Below are 24,538 nucleotides of genomic sequence, written 5' to 3'. Positions count from 1 at the left end.
ACATGCACATATGTGTGTATACACATGTGCATATACACATATATGTGTATACATGTATATATACACATGTGTGTGTATACACGTGTATATATGTGTGTATATATACACGTGTATATATACACACATATACGTACATATATATGTGTGTGTGCGTGTGTGTGTATCTTCTATTTGTTCTATTCCTCTAAGGAACCCTGACTAATACAATCTATATGGTCTAGAAAGAGTCCACATGAATTATATATATATGAAGGGGAGTTTATTAAGGAGAATTAACTCACAGAGTCACAAGGTGAGGTCCCACCATAGGTCATCTACAAGCTGAGGAGGCAGGAAGCCAGTCTGAGTCCCAAGGATTAAGAACTTGGAGTCCAGTGGTCCAGGGCAGGAAGCATCCAGCAAAGGAGGAAGATGGAGGCTGGGAGGCTAAGCCAGTCTAGCCTTTTCACGCTCCTCTGCCTGCTTTTATTCTGGCCAGACTGGCAGCTGATGAGACGGTGCCCACCCAGATTGAGGGGGGTTCTGCCTCTCCGAGTCCACTGACTCTAGTGTTATTCTCCTTTGGCAACACCCTCACAGACACACCCAGGAACAACGCTTTGATTGGATCTTTCAATCCAATCAAGCTGCCATTCAGTATTAACCATCACGCCCAGGAAACTCACTCACGGGTCACGATATGCGAAGGTCACTCTAAAATCACTCTAGCTATAAGAGATATTACCCGGGCCTGGCGTGGTGGCTCACGCCTGTCATCCCAGGACTTTGGGAGGCCGAGGCTGGTGGATCACTTGAGGTCAGGAGTACAAGACCAGCCTAACCAACATGCTGAAACCCCATCTCTACTAAAAATACAAAATTTAGCCAGGCATGGTGGTGCGCACCTGTAGTCCCAGCTACTCGGGAGGCTGAGGCAGGGGAATCACTTGAACCTGGGAGACGGAGGTTGCAGTGAGGCGAGATCGCGCCATTGCACTCCAGCCTGGGTGACAGAGAAAGACTCTGTCAAAAAAAAAAAAAACAACCATCAGCTGGTCTGCCTTATTCCAGGAGGCCCACAGAAAGTCTTGGGCAAAATGAAACAGCAGACTCTGGTCCCAGCTCTCTGGCTTTACACATCTACAGACCCTGGGTACCCCCAGCAGGCAGCACCCAGCAGGCCTGAATTATCCTGTCTCCCCCTCCTCCCCAGACGCGGTCTTGAGCCATGTCCTGTTTTGGAACTGTGGCTAAGGGGAGCTTGTGGGTATCAAGTCTCCAGGTATCAGCAGCTCCTCTCATAAACCAAAAATAGGCCGGGCGTGGTGGCTCATGCCTGTGATCCCAGCACTTTAGGAGGCTGAGGCAGACGGATCACGAGGTCAGGAGTTCAAGACCAGCCTGACCAACATGGTGAAGCCCCATCTCTACTAAAAATTAAAAAATTAGCCAGGCATGGTGGCGGGCGCCTGTAGTCCCAGCTGCTTGGGAGGCTGAGGCAGGGGAATCGCTTGAACCCGGCAGGCGGAGGTTGCAGTGAGCCGAGTTGGGGCCACTGCACTCCAGCCTGGGCAACAGAGCGAGACTCCTTCTCAAAAAAATAAAAAATAAATAAATAAAGCAAAAATAAAAATCTGAATGGACTCCCTCCTTGGCCAGGACACTCTAAAATTTAACATGAAATTATTTCAATTTCAATTTAAAGTTCATGCCATGTTGGGAAGTGGAGGTTGGCCAGGCCTCGCCACACCCCTCTGTTACCAGAAAGGGGTCCTCATCCAGATCCCAAGAGAGGGTTCTAGGATCTCATGCAAGAAAGAATTGAGGGCAAGTCCATAGACCAAAGGGAAAGCGAGTTTATTGGGAAAGTAAAGGAATAAAAGAATGGCTACTCCGTAGACAGAGCAGTCCCCAAGGTTGCTGGTTACCCATTTTTATGGTTCGTTCTTTCTTTTCTTTCTTTCTTTCTTTTTTTTTTTTTTTTTTTTTTTGATTTTGAGACGGAGTCTTGCTCTGTCACCCAGGCTGGAGTGCAGTGGCATGATCTCGGCTCATCGCAACCTCTGCCTCCCAGGTTCAAGCGATTCTTCTGCCTCAGCCTCCCGAGTAGCTGGGACTACAGGCATGCACCACCACGCTGGGCTGATTTTTGTATTTTTAGTACAGATGGGGTTTTGCCATGTTGGTCAGGCTGGTGTCAAACTCCTGACCTCGTGATGCGCCCGCCTCGGCCTCCCAAAGTGCTGGGATGACAGGCGTGAGTCACCGCACCTGGCCTTTATGGTTATTTCTTGAAGATATGCTAAACAAGGGGCGGATTATTCATGCCTCCCCTTTTTAGACCATATAAGGTAACTTCCTGACGTTGCCATGGCATTTGAAAACTGTCATGGTGTTGGTGGGAGTATAGCAGTGAGGACGACCAGAGGTCACTGTTGTGGCCATCTTGGTTTTGGCGTGTTTTGGCTGGCTTCTTTACTGCAACCTGTTTTATCAGCAAGGTCTTTATGACCTGTACCTTGTACCAACCTCCTATCTCATCCTGTGACTTAGAATGCCTTAACCATCTCGGAATGCAGCCCAGTAAGTCTCAGCCTCATTTTACCCAGCCTCTATTCAAGGTGGAGTCGTTCTGGTTCAAACACCTCTGATATTTTCAGCATGAACATCAACACAGACCTTAAGTCTGGTAAGAAACATCTGGAGTCTCTGGTCGGGTGCGGTGGCTCACGCCTGTCATCCCAGCACTTTGGGAGGCCGAGGCGGGCAGATCATGAGGTCAAGAGATTGAGACCATCCTGGCCAACATGGTGAAACCCCGTCTCTACTAAAAATACAAGAATTAGCTGGTCATGGTGGTGCATGCCTGTAATCCCAGCTACTCGGGAGGCTGAGATAGGAGAATCACTTGAACCTGGGAGTCGGAGGTTGCAATGAACCAAGATTGCGCCACTGCACTCCAGCCTGGATGACAAGAGTGAAACTCCGTTAAAAAAAAAAAAAAAAAAAGAAAAGAAAAAGAAAAGAAAAAAAAAACATTTGCAGTCTCTTCTCTCAGAAGCCTGCTACCTGGGAAGCTTCATCTGCATAATAAAACCTCGGTCTCTACAACACCATCATAAGCCAGACATTCCTTACTACGGATAATAACTCTTTCAACCAATTGCCAATAAGTATGTTTTTGTTTGTTTGTTTGTTTGTTTTGAGACAGAGTATCCATGTGTCGCCCAGGCTGGAGTGCAGTGGCGTGATCTCGGTTCACTGCAACCTCCACCTCCCAGGTTCAAGCAATTCTCATGCCTCAGCCTCCCTAGCAGCTGAGATTACAAGCATGTGCCACCACGCTGTGCTGATTTTTTTGTATTTTTAGTAGAAACCGGGTTTCGCCATGTTGGCCAAGCTGATCTCAAACTCCTGGCCTCAAGTGTTCAAGCGATTCTCCTGCCTCAGCCTCCCAAGTAGCTGAGATTACAGGTTCACACCACCACACCCAGCTAATTTTTTTTTTTTTGACAGAGTCTCGCTCTGTCTCCCAGGCTGGAGTGCAGTGGCGCAATCTCGGCTCACTGCAAACTCCTGCCTCAGCCTCCTGAGTAGCTGGGACTACAGGCACCCGCCACCACATCAGGCTAATTTTTTTTTTGTATTTTTAGTACAGACGGGGTTTCACCGTGTTGGCCAAGATGGCCTCGATCTCCTGACCTCGTGATCTGCCCGCTTCGGCCTCCCAAAGTACTGGGATGACAGGTGTGAGCCACTGCGCCCGGCCTGATTTTGTATTTTTAGTACAGACAGGGTGTCACCATGTTGGCCAGGATGGTCTCGAACTCCTGACCTCAGGTGACCCACCCACCTCGGCCTCCCAAAGTGCTAGGACGACAGGTGTGAGCCACCGCGCCCGGCCCTGAATATGTTTAAGTGTAACCCCGCTTTGAGTCACCCTGCCGTTCGAGATAGAACCAACGTACATCTTACATGTATTGACTGATGCTTCAAGTCTTCCTAAAATGTATAAAAGCAAGCTACACCCCAACCACCTTGGGCCCACGTCATCAAGACCTCCTGAGGTTATGTCGTGGTGTCCTCCACCCTGGCAAAGTCAACTTCCTCAATTATGGACACCTGGCCTCAGATCCTTCTCGCCTTACAATTCGAAGAGAGAAAACGATGCTTCCTCCCCCTAGTGGCCATCAGGACAATTGCTTCCATTCAAGGCAAAGTTCTTCCAGAGAAATCTCTTCTGGATGTGGCTTACCAGGATCCATACTAGAAAAAAATGCAGAAACAGCGCCTCGGTAATTTCTGACATTAGAGTTCATGGTGACCGGGTGTGGTGGCTCACACCTGTCATCGCAGCACTTTGGGAGGCTGAGGCGGGTGGATCACGAGGTCAGGAGTTCGAGACCATCCTGGCTAACATGGAGAATCCCTGTCTCTACTAAAAATATAAAATTAGCTGGGTGTGCTGGCACATGCCTGTAGTCCCAGCACTTTGGGAGGCCGAGGCAGGCGGATCATGAGGTCAGGAGTTCGAGACCAGCCTGGGCAACATGGTGAAACCCTGTCTCTATTAAAAATACAAAAATTAGCCAGGTGTGGTGGCACATGCCTGTAGTCCCAGCACTTTGGGAGGCCGAGGCAGGCGGATCATGAGGTCAGGAGTTTGAGACCAGCCTGGGCAACATGGTGAAACCCTGTCTCTATTAAAAATACAAAAATTAGCCGGGTGTGGTGGCACATGCCTGTAGTCCCAGCACCTTGGGAGGCCGAGGCGGGCAGATCACGAAGTCAGGAGTTCCAGACCAGCCTGGGCAACATGGTGAAACCCTGTCTCTATTAAAAATACAAAAATTAGCCGGGCATGGTGGTGTGTGCCTGTAATCCCAGCTCTTTGGCAGGCTGAGGCAGGAGAATCGCTTGAAACCGGAAGGCAGAGGTTGCAGTGAGCTGAGATCACACCATTGCACTCCAGCCTGGGCAACAAGAGCGAAACTCTATCTCAAAAATAACAATAATAATAGAGTTCACGGTCCAACAGTGAAGTGTGATAGAAAAGGAAACGGTACAGTCCCATCTTGAAGTCCACTTTTAAATAATAAGGTGCTCATTGGAAGGCAATCGAATCAAAACATAAGGCTGAGATGAGGAACAGCCCAAGCCATACATGTTCAAGGTGTTAAGGAAATAGAATTAAAAAGCAAAATCTCTACCAGGAGTGGTGGCTCATGCCTGTCACCCCAGCACTTTGGGAGGACGAGGCGGGCGGACCACTTGAGGTCAGGTGTTCGAGACCAGCCTGAGCAACATGATCAAACCCCATCTCTACTAAAAAATACAAAATTAGCCAGGCCTGTAATCTCAGCTACTCAGGAGGCTGAGGCAGGAGAATCGCTTGAATCCTGGAGGCAGAGGTTGCAGTGAGCCGAGATCAGCCACGACACCCCAGACTGAGTGACAGGGACTCTGTCTCAAAAAAAAAAAAAAAAAAACAACCAAAGGCCAGGTGCAGTGGCTCACACCTCTCATCCCAGCACATTGGGAGGCCAAGGTGGGCAGATCACTTCAGGTCAGGAGTTCGAGACCAGCCTGACCAACATGGAGAAACCCTGTCTCTACCAAAAAAATACAAAAATTGGCCGGGTACGGTGGTTCACGCCTGTAATTGCAGCACTTTGGGAGGCCAAGGCAGGTGGATCACCTGAGGTCCGGAGTTCGAGACCAGCCTGGCCAACATGGTGAAACCCGTCTCTACTAAAAATACAAAAATTAGCTGGGCGTGGTGGCACATGCCTGTAATCCCAGCTATTAGGGAAGCTGAGGCAGGAGAATCGCTTGAACCTGAGAGGCGGAGGTTGTGGTGAGCTGAGATCACGCCATTGCACTCCAGTCTGGGCAACAAGAGAGAAATTCTATCTCAAAAAAAAAAAATACAAAAATTAGCCAGAGATGATGGTGCACAACTGTAATTCCAGCTACTCGAGAGGCTGAGGCAGGAGAATCGCTTGAACCGTGGAGGCGGAGGTTGCAGTGAGCCGAGATCTTCCAGGGCACTCCAGACTGAGTCACAGGGACTCTGTCTCAAAAAAAAAAAAAAAAAAAAAAAAAAAAAGCAAAAAAATCTCCTCCCGATCCAGGAACTCCTTCCTTAACCCCTCTCCTCAAGGGTAGAAGAAAAAGAAAACCATTTTTCTACAGAACAAGCATTCAATTCAAATGTGATATACACCCCAGGCCATCCGTGAAAGGGATCAGAAACACAGAAAGAAATCTCACCCTTTTATGGGCCGGGTGTGGTGGCTCACGCCTGTCATCCCAGCACTTTGGGAGGCCGAGGCAGGTGGATCACCTGAGGTCGGGAGTTCGAAACCAGCCTGACCAACATGGAGAAACTTTGTGTCCACTAAAAATACAAAAAATTAGCCGGGCATGGTGGTGCGTGCCTGCAATCCCAGCTACTCGGGAGGCTGAGGCAGGAGAATCGCTTGAACCCGGGAGGGAGAGGTATCCGTGAGCCAAGATCGCACCACTGCACTCCAGCCTGGGTAACAAGAGCAGAACTCCGTCTCAAAAAAAAAAAGAAAAGGAAAAAAAGAAAGAAATCTCATCCTTTTACGCAGCAAAGTGGAGACAGCCCTTTCCTTTCGTTTTCTGAAACTAAACAAGGACTCATTTTGACTGGAGGTGTAGGCTTTGCAATTTGGAGTGAGGTGACAGATTAAATTAAGCTCTTCTCCTCTGTGGACCCCGGGGGATGAGGCTTTTTTTCCTCCCCCTTGGGGATCACATTTCAAAGAGATTCCTCCCAGACACTGCAGGAAACATTCTTGAGCTATGGTGCCGCTTTCTTTAAAAGATTTACACACATTTGAAAAAGGCCGACAAAGAACTTGCAGCTACCAGTTTGCTGGGGAGGGGGGCGGGGCGGAAAGTGGGAAAATATCCCTCTCCTCATTTTTCAACAAGAGAAAATGTAAGCCTCCGATTTTTTTTTTTTTTTTTTTTTTGAGACCGAGTTTTGCTCTTGTTGCCCAGGCTGGAGGGCAGTGGCGCGATCTCGGCTCACTGCAACCTCCACCTCCCGGGTTCAAACGATTCTCCTGCCTCAGTCTCCCGAGTAGCTGGAATTACAGGCGCCCACCACCACGCCCAGCTAATTTTGTGCTTTTTAGTAGAGATAGGGTTTCACCATGTTGGCCAGGATGGTCTCGAACTCCTGACCTCAACTGATACACCCCCTTCGGCCTCCCAAAGTGCTGGGATTACAGGCATGAGCCACTGCGCCAGGCCAGCCTCTGAAGTTTTAGTGTATCTGCCCTTGATGGGGGAAAATAATGAAAAAATCCTTTTGGATGTGGGATTGTTTTTAGTGAAAACCAACATTTAAAACAGCAAAGCAGACTGGGCACGGTGGCTCACGCCTGTAATCCCAACACTTTGGGAGGCCGAGGCGGGCGGGTCACGAGGTCAGGAGTTCGAGACCAGCCTGGCCAACATGGTGAAACCCCGTCTCTACTAAAAATACAAAAAAAAAAATTAGCCGGGCGTGGTGGCAGGTGCCTATAACCCCAGCTACTTGGGAGGCCAAGGCAGGAGAATCGCTTGAACCCAGGAGGTGGAGGTTGCAGTGAGCCGAGATCTTGCCTTTGCACTCCAGCCCAGGCGACAGTGCGAGACTCCATCTCAAAAAAAAAAAAAGCGGCAAAGCACTAAAGTTGGGGCGGGGGGTTGCTTTTTCCCCATTCATGGTCACCCCAGCCCTGACTGCCTCTGACAGGTGCAATCTTGGAGCGAAGGAAGCCGGGTTACATCAGCTGCCCCATGCTGCCACCTGCTGGCAGGCACCGGTTCTCGCTCTTCCGGAATGGTCCACATGTTGCCATGGCCCCAAGAGGGTTTCCCTGAAGAACTGGGCTGTCCAGATCTAACGTATGTTTGCAAAGAGCATTCAAGCCCAGGCGGGCTACATGCATGAGCCTGAGCCACTTTAGGGGTGGTCACAGTGCTTATAATTTTTTTAGGGGGTGGAGAATCTATATACTCACAGAGGGATGCCCCTTGACTTACAGTGGGGTTACCTCCCCACAAGTCTATCATGGGTCCACATACCTTAACTTAAAAATGCATTTAGTATCTTGATACACTGATCGTAACGCTGAAAAGTTGTAAATCCAACCACTGTAAGCTGGAAACCGTCTGTATATATGAACGTATACACACGCTTTTATTTTACTTATTTATTTATTTTGAGATGGACTCTCGCTCTGTCGACCAGGCTGGAGTGCAGTGGCGCGATCTCGGCTCACTGCAACCTCTGCCTCCCGGGTTCACGACATTCTCCTGCCTCAGCCTCCCTAGTAGCTGGGGCTACAGGCGCCCGCCTCCATGCCTGGCCAATTTTTTGTATTTTTAGTAGAGATGGGGTTTCACCATGTTAGCCAGGATGGTCTCCATCTCCTGACCTTGTGATCCACCTGCCTCAGCCTCCCAAAGTGCTGGGATTACAGGCGTGAGCCACTGCGCCCAGCCAGATGTCCACATCCTAATCCCCATGTGGTAGACAGAATAATGGCCCCAAAGATGTCCACATCCTAATCCCATGTGGGAGACAGAAAATGGCCCCCAAAGATGTCTACATTGCAATCCCATGTGGTAGAAGGAGTAATGGCCCCCAAAGATGTCCACATCCTAATCCCCACGTGGTGGACAGAATAATGACCCTAAAAATGTTATCAACACCCAAATCCCCATGTGATAGACAGAATAATGGCCCCAAAGATTTATACATCCCACTCCCCATATGGTAGAGGAATAATATCCCCCAAAGCTGTCCACATCCCAGTCTCTAGAACCTGTGAATATGTGACCTCACCTGGAAAAACACACTTGGCAACTGTGGTTTAATTAGTGATCCTAAGAGGGGGGCTGTCCTGGATTCTCTGGGTTGGCCATCTGTCATCAGAAGGCTCCTTATGAGAGGGAGGCAAGAGGATCAAAGTTATAGAAGAGGTGACAATGGAAGCAGAGCCCGGAGTGATGTGGGTGTGGGTTTTGCAAGTGGAGGAAGGGACCATGAGCCAAGGAAAGCAGGCAGCTTCTGGAAGCTGGCAAGGCAAGAAAATGCATTCACCTCCAAAGCCTCTAGAATAAAGCAGTCCTGCCAACACTTTTATGTTAGCCTAGGGAAACTGACTTCAGCCTTCTGTTCTTCATAACTGCAAGACAGTTAATTTGTGTTGTTTTCAGCTACCACATTTGTGATAACTTGTTACAGCAGCTACAGGTCACTAATAGCTACAGGTCACTACCCAGCCAAATACAACCACCCAATGAAACTGTCTGCAAGAAGAAAAAGCAGTGACAAATGCTCACGTTTTTTCTTCTTTTTACGACTTAGAGCATTAGATAGATAGAAAATCAGAAAGGGGAAAGAAAGAAAGAAAGGAAGAAAAGAAAGAAAGGAAAGAAAGGAAGAAAGAAAGAAAGAGAGAAATGAAAGGGAAGAAAGGAAGAAAAAGAAGAAAGAGGTAAAGGAGGAAAGAGAAACAAGGAAAGAAAGGAGAGAACAAAAGAGAGAAGAAAGAAGAAAGAAAGAAAGAAGAAAGAGAAAGAAAGAAAGAAAAAGAAAGAAAGAAAGAAAGAAAGAGTGAATCTGGGCGTGATGGCTCATGCCTGTATTCCCAGCACTTTGGGAGGCTGAGGCAGGTGGATCACGAGGTCAGGAGATTGAGACCATCCTGGCTAACATGGTGAAACCCCGTCTCTACTAAAAATGCAAAAAATTAGCCGGGCATGGTGGCAGGTGCCTGTAGTCCCAGCTACTCAGGAGGCTGAGACAGGAGAAAGGCGTGAACCTGGGAGGCGGAGCTTGCAGTGAGCCGAGATCACACCACTGCACTCCAGCTTGGGAGACAGCGAGACTCTGTTAAAAAAAAAAAAAAAGAAAGAAAGAAAGAAAGAGAGAGAGAAAGAAAGAGGGAAGGAAGGAAGGAAGGGAGGAAGGAAGGAGAGGAAGAAATAGGAGGAAAAAATAGATTTTGGTACATTATGTCCTCAATTAACTCACCAGGACTTGGAATTTAAGGACAAAAGGGAAAAAAAATCCCAAATATATACACCTTCCCACTCCCAGTAACCCCAGCCCAGTGGCATAAGTGACAAAAAACTTTGGGTGGGTGGGAAGGAATTAGCATCTGTCTGAATGCTCTGCCTCAGGAAAGAGAAGCTGGGGTCTCCTCCCAGACAAGAGAAAGAAATCCCAGAAAACCACTCATAAAGATTGAGGGGAGCCTACAAGAAGACAAGAGGAGCTGTCTTTCTCTGCTAAGTTTCTGGTTAGGAAGAAAACTCCCTGTGCCTACTTGACCTGGGGCAAAGAGGGTCCAATGGGGAGTGATGGTATAATGGGCACCTTCTAGAACCCCCTGGCTCCTGAACTTGGAAGAGGAGCCCATGAGGTTCTCATGGTGAATGGAGAGGCAGGACAGTGGTGCTGATGAGGTGGCTCCCAGCCAAGCACAAGGCATGCCCACCCCAGAAATTCTAATGGAGACTCCTTGGCTGTCTCTAAGAGGATCTCTGAATACAAAGGAAGACAGGATGGCAATGAACAATGCCCACCATAGCCATGTCTACCACATGGATGGGGACTTGGAAAACCAGCCAGGCTCCAGCATCAAAAGGGTCAGCCTGGACAGAGACCATTGCCCACCTCCAACCCCTTCAGTAGGGATGGAAGACCCTGCCTGCTCTGGTCCTCCTCTCTGCCCAGAAGGGGAGGCAGTTCCCAAGTCAGACCCTAGCCCTTCCTCCATGGAGCAGCCATCAGGGAGGAATGTCTCAGCACTCACCATGCAGGAAAGTCAGGATCTTAGTTTTAAAAACTGAAGTTTTCTTTAAAGCTGATAGGGGCTTGGGGCTGGGTGCAGTGGCTCACGCCTGTAATCCCAGCACTTTGGGAGGCTGAGGTGGGCAGATCATGAGGTCAGGAGATCGAGACCACAATGAAACCCTGTCTCTACTAAAAATACAAAAAAATTAGCCAGGCGTGGTGGTGGGCACCTGTAGTCCCAGCTACTTGGGAGGCTGAGGCAGGAGAATGGCATGAACCCAAAGGTGGAGCTTGCAGTGACCCGAGATCATGCCACTGCACTCCAGCCTGGGTGACAGAGCGAGATTCTGTCTCAAAAAAAAAAAACACAAAAAAAACCTGATGGGGCTTGGGAACTCCATTCGATCAGATAATTATGGTAATTAATAAAGTTCTGTTACTTGGGTGAAGAAAATTTGACAGGGCATTGATGGGGCAAGAATTAGAAAGATCAAATAGGCCAGGTGCAGTGACTCATGCCAGTAATTCCAGCATTTTGGGAGGCTGAGGCAGGAGACTCACTTGAGACCAGGAGTTTGAGAACAGCCTGGGCAACATAGCAAGATCCTGTCTCTAAAAAAAAAAAAAAAAAAAATCGATTAGTTGAGCCTGTAGTCCCAGCTACTAGGGAGGCTGAGGCAGGAGAATCGCTTGAGCCCATGAGTTGGAGGCTGCAGTGAGCTATCACTGTACCACTGTACTCCAGCCTGGGAAACAGAGCAAGACTTCATCTCTGAAAAATAAATAAGAAGATAAAATCTTCATTCCTTATTAAATAAGCGTTCCCCTATAATTAGTTGCCTGTGCATCACTGAATACCCAGGAAAAGGTCCTATTTGCAGCAGGGCACACAGGGCACTCTGAGGGACTGGACTCCACTACTCTTGGCATGAATAAGGCCTCCATGGACTTGTGGTGAATGCATGTTCTCGGGGATGACCACCAGCTGCAACTCCCAGCAACTGACATAAGCATGTTTTTCGAAAGAGTTCATTTCCAAACTTCAGCTTGAACATTTTGAAATTAGACCGTTTAGTTTATGAGAACTCCTCAACAGAGAATTAAGATGTCCCTGAGTCTCTTTTCTTCCTGTTTAATCTAATTTTAAAAGGTGTCATGCAACTCTGCAAATATTCCCAAATCACACTCTCTGTGAAAGATGCCTTTTAAACAGATTAGACATTGCAAAAAGAAGCAGATTCTCTTGTGCTTTTTCAAACTTAAAATTTGAAATGTGCACACCATTCCTTACCTTTCTTGTAGATGAGTTTGTTAGGACCACCTAACATGGTGAAACCGTGTCTTTACTAAAAATACAAAAAATTAGCTGGGTGTGGTGGCGGGCACCTGTAGTCCCAGCTACTCAGGAGGCTGAGGCAGAATGGCGTGAACCTGGGAGGTGGCGCTTGCAGCGAGCCGAGATCATGCCACTGCACTCCAGCCTGGGCAACAGAGCAAGACTCCATCTCAAAATAATAATAATAATAATAATAATAATAATAATAATAATAATAAACTTGCCCAGTGCTGCAAACTAGAATTCTGAGATCAAGATGTTGCAGAGCTACATTCCCTCCAGAGGCTCTAGGGGAGGACTCTTCCTGCCTCTCCCAGTTCCTGGGGGCTCCAGGTGTCCCTGGGCTTGTGGCCGCATCACTCTAGTCTCTGCCTCTGTCTCCATGTGGCCTTCTCACCTGTGTCTGTGTCCTCATGTGGCATTCTCCCCTCTCTTCTGTGCGTTTCTGTGTCTCTTGTTTTCTTATAAGCACATCAGTCATATTGGATTTAGCGCTCATCCTAATGACCTCATCTGAACTTGATTTCATCAGCAAAGATCTTACTTCTAAATAAGATACCATTCACAGGTTCCAGGGGCCACAGCCTGGACATATCTTTTGGGGAACAGAATTCAACCCACAACAACTTGCTTTGACGATTATTCCATTTTGTTTTGTTTTCTCATCTTTTTAGTTGAAAAAAACAATGTTTAGACTGAGAGTAAAGAAAGTACCAAAATAATCTAAAATGTACACTAGAGGAAAACAAGAAGTAGAAAACCTTGTTGACATTGCGGAAGAGGTCCAGGGAGAAATGGGTATGAGATTGGTAGGAGGGAAATATTTTCCTCTTCTGTAGCATCTGCTGATTTCTCTGTATCCACAGATGTGGCGTGATCTAATCTGGCGGCAAATGCCCGCACTCTCATGGTGGCTACATGAAGAGATTTGAGTACAGATCCATACAGGAGAGACAGATGGGACTGTCTGAGGCAGAGAGAGAGAGACAGAAAGCCTCACCTTTCTCACGGTTGAAATGGCATCACTAATAAGTCACAGAGCTGTGCAAGGCAGCCTGAAAGGAGAACCTCATATTTCATAGACACCTATAGTTGCTACATCCATCACTGGTGCCAAAGTTCTGTTCAGGGTGAAGCTTCTAACAGACACCCCTCAAGGTGAACACTGGAGTCCCACTTTACAGCATGAAGAGGACCAAAACTTTGCTTACAGTCAATATCAAAGCTGAGCTCACACCCCCATCAGCGTGGTCCTCAGTAAAGCCTGGGAAATAATCTACAAAGTAGAAGCAGTCCAACCCTGTCCACAGAAGCCTCCAGTCACTTATCATGTGAACACCAAGAACAAGAAGCCACTGGAGGTACATGTCTTTATTATTATGTCTTGTGTGCTTTGACGTTAGTTCCAGGTCACAAGAAACAGTTATTTCCTGGCTAAAATGGCATCATAAATGGCTCCTGTTTTCTTAAACTGGAAGTCTCTGAAGCCAGCAGAAGAGAGGAGCATGTGGTAGTGGGTGGGGGTCCTCTCCTGCCCTTCCGTCTGCACAAGCATGTTCAGAGAGTAGAGCTGCGTGAGCAGAGGACCTCGCCTGTCTTCATCCAGGAGGCTTTCAATTACCAGAATGCCACCACCTAGAAAGGGAGGGGCACAGTCCACATCACACACAAACACACAGACAGACTGTGCCAAAGTCCCAGTGAACCATAAGGACAGCCAGACCTCAGAGGACAGTCAGGGCACCGTCCCCATCACACACTCAGAGGCTGTGCCCACGTCCTCATCGATCATCAGGATGGGTGAACCTCACAGGACGCTGGGACACTGTCCCCATCACACACATAGAGGCTGTGCCCATGTCCTCATGAACCATCAGGATGGATGGACCTCACAGGAGAACTGGGACACCGTCCCCATCACACACACACAGAGGCTGTGCCCACATCCTCATGGGCCATCAGGATCGATGGACCTCTCAGGACACTGGGACACTGTCCTCATTACACACAGAGGCTGAGCCCACGTCCTCATGAACCATCAGGATGGGTGGACCTCACAGGACACTGGGACACTGTCCCCATTATACACACAGAGGTTGTGCCCATGTCCTCATGGACCATCAGGATGTATGGACCTCACAGGACACTGGGACACTGTCCCCATCACACACACAGAGGCTGTGCCCAAGTCCTCATGAACCATCAAGATGGGTGGACCTCACAGGAGAGCTGGAACACTGTCCTTATCACACACAGAGAGGCTGTGCCCATGTCCTCATGGACCATCAGGATGGGTGGACCTCACAGGAGAACTGGGACACCGTCCCCATCACACACACACACACAGAGGCTGTGCCCACATCCTCATGGGCCATCAGGATGGATGGACCTCACAGGACACTGGGATGCTATCCCCATTACACACAGAGGCTGTGCCCACGTCCTCATGAACCATCGGATGGGTGGACCTCACAGACACTGGGACACTGTCCCCATCACACACAAAGAGGTTGTGCCCACATCCTCATGGACCATCAGGATGGGTGGACCTCACAGGACACTGGGACACTGTCCCCATCACACACATAGAGGCCATGCCCAAGTCCTCATGAACCATCAAGATGGGTGGACCTCACAGGAGAGCTGGAACACTGTCCTTATCACACACAGAGAGGCTGTGTCCATGTACTCATGGACCACCAGGATGGGTGGACCTCACAGGAGAACTGGGACACTGTCCCCATCTCACACAGAGAGGCTGTGTCCATGTACTCATGGACCACCAGGATGGGTGGACCTCACAGGACACTGGGACACTGTCCCCATCACACACACAGAGGCTGTGCCCACATCCTCATGAACCATCAGGATGGGTGGACCTCACAGGAGAACTGGGACACTGTCCCCAACACACACACAGAGGCTGTGCTCACGTCCCCATGAACCATCAGGATGGATGGACCTCACAGGAGAGCTGGGACACTGTCCCCATCACACACAGAGCGGCTGTGTCCACATCCTCATGGACCATCAGGATAGGTGGACCTCACAGGACACTGGGACATGGTCCCTATCACACACACAGAGGCTGTGTCCACATCCTAATGGATCATCAGGATGGGTGGACCTCACAGGAGAGCTGGGACATGGTCCCTATCTCACACACAGAGGCTGTGCCCACATCCTCATGAACCATCAGGAGGGATGGATCTCACAGGACACTGGGACACTGTCCCCATCACACACACAGAGGCTGTGTCCACATCCTCATGGATCATCAGGATGGGTGGACCTCACAGGAGAGCTGGGACATGGTCCCTATCTCACACACAGAGGCTGTGCCCACATCCTCATGAACCATCAGGAGGGATGGACCTCACAGGACACTGGGACACTGTCCCCATCACACACACAGAGGCTGTGTCCACATCCTCATGGATCATCAGGATGGGTGGACCTCACAGGAGAGCTGGGACATGGTCCCTATCTCACACACAGAGGCTGTGCCCACATCCTCATGTGCCATCAGGATGGATGGATCTCACAGGACACTGGGACACTGTCCCCATCACACACACAGAGGCTGTGTCCACATCCTCATGGATCATCAGGATGGGTGGACCTCACAGGAGAGCTGGGACATGGTCCCTATCTCACACACAGAGGCTGTGCCCACATCCTCATGAACCATCAGGAGGGATGGATCTCACAGGACACTGGGACACTGTCCCCATCACACACACAGAGGCTGTGTCCACATCCTCATGGATCATCAGGATGGATGGACCTCACAGGAGAGCTGGGACATGGTCCCTATCTCACACACAGAGGCTGTGCCCACATCCTCATGTGCCATCAGGATGGATGGATCTCACAGGACACTGGGACACTGTCCCCATCATACACAGAGGCTGTGCCCACGTCCTCATGAAGCATCAGGATGGGTGGACCTCACAGGAGAGCTGGGACATGGTCCCTATCTCACACACAGAGGCTGTGCCCACATCCTCATGAACCATCAGGAGGGATGGATCTCACAGGACACTGGGACACTGTCCCCATCACACACACAGAGGCTGTGTCCACATCCTCATGGATCATCAGGATGGGTGGACCTCACAGGAGAGCTGGGACATGGTCCCTATCTCACACACAGAGGCTGTGCCCACATCCTCATGAACCATCAGGAGGGATGGACCTCACAGGACACTGGGACACTGTCCCCATCACACACACAGAGGCTGTGTCCACATCCTCATGGATCATCAGGATGGGTGGACCTCACAGGAGAGCTGGGACATGGTCCCTATCTCACACACAGAGGCTGTGCCCACATCCTCATGTGCCATCAGGATGGATGGATCTCACAGGACACTGGGACACTGTCCCCATCACACACACAGAGGCTGTGTCCACATCCTCATGGATCATCAGGATGGGTGGACCTCACAGGAGAGCTGGGACATGGTCCCTATCTCACACACAGAGGCTGTGCCCACATCCTCATGAACCATCAGGAGGGATGGATCTCACAGGACACTGGGACACTGTCCCCATCACACACACAGAGGCTGTGTCCACATCCTCATGGATCATCAGGATGGATGGACCTCACAGGAGAGCTGGGACATGGTCCCTATCTCACACACAGAGGCTGTGCCCACATCCTCATGTGCCATCAGGATGGATGGATCTCACAGGACACTGGGACACTGTCCCCATCACACACACAGAGGCTGTGTCCACATCCTCATGGATCATCAGGATGGGTGGACCTCACAGGAGAGCTGGGACATGGTCCCTATCTCACACACAGAGGCTGTGCCCACATCCTCATGAACCATCAGGAGGGATGGATCTCACAGGACACTGGGACACTGTCCCCATCACACACACAGAGGCTGTGTCCACATCCTCATGTGCCATCAGGATGGATGGACCTCACAGGACACTGGGACACTGTCCCCATCATACACAGAGGCTGTGCCCACGTCCTCGTGAAGCATCAGGATGGGTGGACCTCACAGGAGAGCTGGGACACAGTCCTTATCTCACACACAGAGGCTGTGCCCACATCCTCATGTGCCATCAGGATGGATGGACCTCACAGGAGAGCTGGGACATGGTCCCTATCTCACACACAGAGGCTGTGCCCACATCCTCATGAACCATCAGGATGGATGGATCTCACAGGACACTGGGACACTGTCCCCATCACACACACAGAGGCTGTGTCCACATCCTCATGGATCATCAGGATGGGTGGACCTCACAGGAGAGCTGGGACATGGTCCCTATCTCACACACAGAGGCTGTGCCCACATCCTCATGAACCATCAGGAGGGATGGATCTCACAGGACACTGGGACACTGTCCCCATCACACACACAGAGGCTGTGTCCACATCCTCATGGATCATCAGGATGGATGGACCTCACAGGAGAGCTGGGACATGGTCCCTATCTCACACACAGAGGCTGTGCCCACATCCTCATGTGCCATCAGGATGGATGGATCTCACAGGACACTGGGACACTGTCCCCATCACACACACAGAGGCTGTGTCCACATCCTCATGGATCATCAGGATGGGTGGACCTCACAGGAGAGCTGGGACATGGTCCCTATCTCACACACAGAGGCTGTGCCCACATCCTCATGAACCATCAGGAGGGATGGATCTCACAGGACACTGGGACACTGTCCCCATCACACACACAGAGGCTGTGTCCACATCCTCATGTGCCATCAGGATGGATGGACCTCACAGGACACTGGGACACTGTCCCCATCATACACAGAGGCTGTGCCCACGTCCTCGTGAAGCATCAGGATGGGTGGACCTCACAGGAGAGCTGGGACATGGTCCCTATCTCACACACAGAGGCTGTGCCCACATCCTCATGTGCCATCAGGATGGATGGACCTCACAGGAGAGCTGGGACATGGTCCCTATCTCACACACAGAGGCTGTGCCCACATCCTCATGAACCATCAGGAGGGATGGATCTCACAGGACACTGGGACACTGTCCCCATCACACACACAGAGGCTGTGTCCACATCCTCATGGATCATCAGGATGGATGGACCTCACAGGAGAGCTGGGACATGGTCCCTATCTCACACACAGAGGCTGTGCCCACATCCTCATGAACCATCAGGAGGGATGGATCTCACAGGACACTGGGACACTGTCCCCATCACACACACAGAGGCTGTGTCCACATCCTCATGGATCATCAGGATGGATGGACCTCACAGGAGAGCTGGGACATGGTCCCTATCTCACACACAGAGGCTGTGCCCACATCCTCATGTGCCATCAGGATGGATGGACCTCACAGGAGAGCTGGGACATGGTCCCTATCTCACACACAGAGGCTGTGCCCACATCCTCATGAACCATCAGGAGGGATGGATCTCACAGGACACTGGGACACTGTCCCCATCACACACACAGAGGCTGTGTCCACATCCTCATGGATCATCAGGATGGATGGACCTCACAGGAGAGCTGGGACATGGTCCCTATCTCACACACAGAGGCTGTGCCCACATCCTCATGTGCCATCAGGATGGATGGACCTCACAGGAGAGCTGGGACATGGTCCCTATCTCACACACAGAGGCTGTGCCCACATCCTCATGAACCATCAGGAGGGATGGATCTCACAGGACACTGGGACACTGTCCCCATCACACACACAGAGGCTGTGTCCACATCCTCATGGATCATCAGGATGGATGGACCTCACAGGAGAGCTGGGACATGGTCCCTATCTCACACACAGAGGCTGTGCCCACATCCTCATGAACCATCAGGAGGGATGGATCTCACAGGACACTGGGACACTGTCCCCATCACACACACAGAGGCTGTGTCCACATCCTCATGGATCATCAGGATGGATGGACCTCACAGGAGAGCTGGGACATGGTCCCTATCTCACACACAGAGGCTGTGCCCACATCCTCATGTGCCATCAGGATGGGTGGACCTCACAGGACACTGGGACACTGTCCCCATCATACACAGAGGCTGTGCCCACGTCCTCGTGAAGCATCAGGAGGGATGGATCTCACAGGACACTGGGACACTGTCCCCATCATACACAGAGGCTGTGCCCACATCCTCATGAACCATCAGGAGGGATGGATCTCACAGGACACTGGGACACTGTCCCCATCACACACACAGAGGCTGTGTCCACATCCTCATGTGCCATCAGGATGGATGGACCTCACAGGACACTGGGACACTGTCCCCATCATACACAGAGGCTGTGCCCACGTCCTCGTGAAGCATCAGGATGGGTGGACCTCACAGGAGAGCTGGGACACAGTCCTTATCTCACACACAGAGGCTGTGCCCACATCCTCATGTGCCATCAGGATGGATGGACCTCACAGGAGAGCTGGGACACTGTCCCCATCACACACAGAGGCTGTGCCCACATCCTCATGTGCCATCAGGATGGATGGACCTCACAGGAGAGCTGGGACACTGTCCCCATCACACACAGAGGCTGTGCCCACATCCTCATGAACCATCAGGATGGGTGGACCTCAGAAGTCAGTGGGGCACTGTCCTCATCACACACACAAATACTAGCCTAATTCTGAAAGAATTTCACCAAAGTGAGGCCACTGAAGTTTCAGAGGGCCTTTCACTTTTTCCATCTTTATGTGGTTTTATCAATAGAATAGAAATTAGGACCCTATTTATTTCAGGTCGTTATCTAAAAGGAAAGCCATATTGGGCAGGATGTCTACCCTTACCTGTGGGATGATTTCAGTGCCTGCCTTCTAAATGTGACTCGTACAATTCTGCCCCGTGTCACAAGCACACGCTGAAATGCAAACCCCACAACTTACCTGGCTTGCAAGTGTGGTAGATCCTCTCCAGCAGGTGTGAGCACTTTCCGTCTGCCCAGTCATGGAGGACCCTGGCCAGGATGTACAGATCAGCTTCCGGAAGAGGGTCTTTGAAGAAATCCCCTGGAACACAGGGCAGGCACACCGAGGTCAGCCTGCAATCCAATCCCATTTGACTAAACCTATTCTGGGCACAAAAGGTCACCTGGATGGGTCACGCCTTTCCCAGGTCTTCCAGGCTAGTCACCTGCAGACCTAGCCTCAGAAAACAAAAAGGCTTAGGAGAAAGATAAGAAAATACTGAGGTCGGGCGCGGTGGCTCACGCCTGTAATCCTAGCACTTTGGGAGGCGGAGGTGGGCAGATCACGAGGTCAGGAGATCAAGACCATCCTGGCTAACACGGTGAAACCCTGTCTCTACTAAAAATACAAAAAAAATTAGCCGGGCGTGATGGCGGGTGCCTGTGGTCCCAGCTACTCGGGAGGCTGAGGCAGGAGAATGGCATGAACCCGGGAGGCGGAGCTTGCAGTGAGCCGAGATTGCACCATTGCACTCCAGCCTGGGCGACAGCGAGACTGTCTCCAAAAAAAAAAAAAGAAAGAAAATACTGAATAAGTGTGGCCTCTTTCTCTCCTCCTCCTTTAAAAAAAAATCATAATATGGTTTCTTTTTTGTTTTTTTGTTTGTTTGTTTGTTTGAGATGGAGTTTTGCTCTTGTTGCCCAGGCTGGAGTGCAAGGGCCTGATCTCAGCTCACCGCAACCTCCACCTCCTGGTTTCAAGCGATTCTCCTGCCTCAGCCTCCTGAGTAGCTGGGATTACAGGCACCCGCCACCACGCCCGGCTAATTTTTGTATTTTTAGTAGAGATGGGATTTCTCCATGTTGCTGAGGCTGGTCTCGAACCCCCAACCTGAGGTGATCCGCCCGCCTCGGCCTCCCAAAGTGCTGGGATTACAGGCATGAGCTGCTGTGCCCGGCCCATGTTCTTTCTTTCTTTCTTTCTGATGTCCCCTGCAAAAGCACTGCTGCTGATATCACCCAAAGCCGTGGATTCCAGGAGTCCCTGGGAATTCGGTCAGCAGCTCCTAACTGATGAGCTGAACTGAACCTACAGTCAAGACCTGTTCTCCAGATTTAAAGTAAATACGCAAGACTGACCCTTTATGTGTGTGCGATGTGAAACGCTCAAGTCTTGTCATAGTTTTCCCGCAAAATGATAAGGTGCCAATCTTGGGAGAGATCTTGGTGAGCTCTGTGCAGTGAAGAGTTAATTCAGGCCAGGCGCGGTGGCTCACGCCTGTAATCCCAGCACTTTGGGAGTCTGAGCGGGGCAGATCACGAGATCAGGAGATTGAGACCATCCTGGCTAACACGGTGAAACCCCATCTCTACCAAAAATACAAAAAAAAAAAAAAAATTAGCTGGGCGTGGTGGTGGGCGCCTGTAGTCCCAGCTACTCGGGAGGCTGAGGCAGGAGAATGGTGTGAACCCGGGAGGTGGAGCTTGCAGTGAGCCGAGATCCCACCACTGCACTCCAGCCTGGGTGACAGAGCGAGACTCCATCTCAAAAAAAAAAAAAAAAGAGTTAACTCAGGCCAGGCGCGGTGGCTCACTCCTGTAATCCCCAGCACTTTGGGAGGCCGAGGCAGGTGGATCACGAGGTCAGGAATTCAAAACCAGCCTGGCCGAGATAGTGAAACCCTGTCTCTACTAAAAATACAAAAAATTAGCCAGGCATGGTGATAGGCACCTGTAAAATCTCAGCTACTTAGGAGGCTGAGGCAAAAAATTGCTTGAACCTGGGAGGCAGAGGTTGCAGTGAGCTTGGATCACGCCACTGCACTCCAGCCTGGGTGACAGAGTGAGACTCCGTCTCAAAAAAACAAGAAAAAAAAAGGGGGGGGGTTAACTCAGCAGGCCTGTGTTGTCCAAACCCTCCACATTCTAAAGAGAGGATTGGCACTTAATTGGCAACTGTAATCTCTAAGAATGTCCTACCTCACAAGGGTATCTTTGTTCAGCTGGGTCTCTGGGCCACCCAGGATAGTTTGTACTAACAGTGGGATTTACTATAGGATCACCTTGGGAACTCTGGAAGAGGTGAAGATTGGAGTCAGCCATGCAGGGTGTCTGCCATGTCTATGTAACCAGTCTCCAAGAAAATCCTTGGATGTCAGGGATTGCGGAGGCTCTCCAGGCTGGCAGTGAGTGGTGTGTGTTGTCAAACCTTGTTGTTGGGGGAATTGATTGCTGTCCACAGCTCCACTGGGAGAAGACAACAAGAAGCTCACATGTGGTTTCTCCCGAACTCTATCCCATGCTCCTTTCTCCTTCGCTGATATGCATCTGTATTCTTTCATTGTTGTAAATATAACTATGTGTATGATGGCTCTTCTGAGCTCGGTGTGTCCTTCTAGTGAATTATTGAACCTGAAGGTAGTCGTGGAGACCCTGGCCACACCCTTCACTGCAGAAATGATATGACTGGCTGGGTGCGGTGGCTCACGCCTGTAATCCCAGCACTTTGGGAGGCCGAGGCGGGTGGATCTCCTGAGGTCAGGAGTTTGAGACCAGCCTGGTCAACACGGTGAAACCCCATCTCTACTAAAAATACAAAAAGAGGCCGGGTGTGATGGTTCACACCTGTAATCCCAGCACTTTGGGAGGCCAAGGTGGGCGGATCACGCGGTCAGGAGATCGAGACCATCCTGGCTAACACAGTGAAACTCCACCTCTACTAAAAATATAAAAGATTAGCCAGGTGTGGTGGTGGGTGCCTGTAGTCCCAGCTACTTGGGAGGCTGAGGCAGGAGAATGGTGTGAACCCGGGAGGCGGAGCTTGAAGGGAGCCGAGATCTGTCACCACACTCCAGCCCGGGCAAGAGAGTGAGACTCCATCTCAAAAAAAAAAAAAAATTAGCTGGATGTGGTGGCGCATGCCTGTAATCCCAGCTACTTGGGAGGCTGAGGCAGGAGAATTGCTTGAACCCAGGAGGTGGAGGTTGCAGTGAGCCGAGACTGCACCACTGCACTCCAGCCTGGGCGACAAAGCAAGACTCTGTATCAATAATAATAATAATAATTGTAAGAAAACTGTATATCTACACCCAGCTTTCCATCCATCATGAATAACAGACAGTGTTGAGTTGAGGGTGTTTCCGGGAGTGAGAGGAAAACCACATCACATCTTCTTCATTTCCCAGAAACATCCAGTCCCCCTGGAGAAGCCGTGAGACACATCTCTGCTTCCCCACGGACACAAACACACCTTCCTGGAAGTCAATCTGTTCTTCCTCCTGGAATGAGAAGTGCTGCTTTGCCGTCCACACCACTTCTGGGATGTCAAAAACGGTGATCTTACATCCAGGGTACAGAGACATGCATTCCTTAGCCAGAGCTCCAGCCCCACCTGGAAGGGGACACAGCCCGTTTGACCCTCAGAGATGAACCTGAGAGACATCGCTCACCCTCCACACACCATGGACTCATGAAGGGTCCAACCCAGGAACTTGGGTCCTTCCGCCATGTCTGGTCTTTTTTTTCTTTTTATTATACTTTAAGTTCTAGGGTACATGTGCAGAACATGCGGTTTTGTTACATAGGTATCCATGTGCCATGGTGGTTTGCTGCACCCATCGACTCGTCATTTACATTAGGTATTTGTCCTAGTGCTCTCCCTCCCCCAGCCTCCCAGCCCCCCAGGCCCTGACAGGCCCCAGTGTGTGACGTTCCCCTCCCTGTGTCCATGTGGTCTCATTGTTCAGTTCCCACCTATGAGTGAGAACACGCGGTGTTTGGTTTTCTGTCCTTGCGATAGTTTGCTGAGAATGATGGTTTCCAGCTTTATCCATGTCCCTGCAAAGGACATGAACGCATCCTTTTATTTATTAATTTATTTATTTTTGAGACAGAGTCTGGCTCTGTCGCCCAGGCTGGAGTGCAGTGGCACGATTTCCGCTCACTGCAAGCTCTGCCTCCCGGGTTCACGCCATTCTCCTGCCTCAGCCTCCCCAGTAGCTGGGACTACAGGCGCCCGCCACCACGCCCAGCTAATTTTTTTATTGTATTTTTAGTAGAGACAGGGTTTCTCCGTGTTAGCCAGGATGGTCTCGATCTCCTGACCTCGTGATCCGCCCATCTCGGCCTCCCAAAGTGCTGGGATGACAGGCGTGAGCCACCGCGCCCGGCCGAACTCATCCTTTTTTATCCACCATGTCTAATCTTGACGGTGACGTGATTGTCTACAGGCCCCTGAGTTCAGGTGGTCTTTCTGGCTGGGCTGACCCAAGCTCCAAACTTCCATATGGCCACGCACTTAACTGTGTGTTCTTGAAGCCGGCGCACCTGTCCAGCCAAGGGCGGCCAACAGCTAAGAGAAGGATGTAATAACAAGCCCCATTCAGAGGCCCCGGTAAGTCGTGCACACAAAATCCATCATGGGCCACAGAGACTTCCAGCCCCATGCTCCTTGTCCATTATTTCTGTAGAAAGTCAGTCTTTTTATTTATTTTGAGAT

At 50.3% G+C, this 24,538-nt stretch overlaps 1 protein-coding gene across 3 annotated transcripts in view, besides 1 other annotated feature; it reads right to left on the bottom strand.

The window, feature by feature from the left end:
• Nucleotides 6,512-7,031: an enhancer, noted in NCBI's record as "OCT4-NANOG-H3K27ac hESC enhancer chrY:1718443-1718962 (GRCh37/hg19 assembly coordinates)". NCBI's record gives its function as "activates a minimal SCP1, AML or CMV promoter by ChIP-STARR-seq in primed H9 embryonic stem cells {active_cell/tissue: H9 hESC(primed)}" and the evidence as "EXISTENCE:reporter gene assay evidence [ECO:0000049][PMID:30033119]".
• The window catches only part of ASMT (acetylserotonin O-methyltransferase), a 28,023-nt gene continuing 16,984 nt past the window's right edge, over nucleotides 13,500-24,538 (bottom strand). The window contains exons 6-9 of one of the 3 annotated variants that reach the window (NM_001171038.2): nucleotides 23,794-23,877; nucleotides 23,291-23,431; nucleotides 20,021-20,143; nucleotides 13,500-13,778 (exon numbers count right to left, since the gene is read on the bottom strand). In NM_001171038.2, the coding sequence (NP_001164509.1) occupies nucleotides 13,567-13,778; nucleotides 20,021-20,143; nucleotides 23,291-23,431; nucleotides 23,794-23,877 (560 nt within the window). In that variant the 3' untranslated portion in view covers nucleotides 13,500-13,566. The remainder of the gene's footprint in view (nucleotides 13,779-20,020; nucleotides 20,144-23,290; nucleotides 23,432-23,793; nucleotides 23,878-24,538) is intronic. The other 2 variants (NM_001416525.1, NM_001171039.1) reach the window with 2 other exon arrangements.

The sequence above is a fragment of the Homo sapiens genome, chromosome X (genome assembly GCF_000001405.40).
Source record: "Homo sapiens chromosome X, GRCh38.p14 Primary Assembly".
Taxonomy (NCBI): domain Eukaryota; kingdom Metazoa; phylum Chordata; class Mammalia; order Primates; family Hominidae; genus Homo; species Homo sapiens.
Note: the sequence above shows the minus strand (reverse complement) of the source record. Positions and strands in the feature narration are given on the sequence as shown.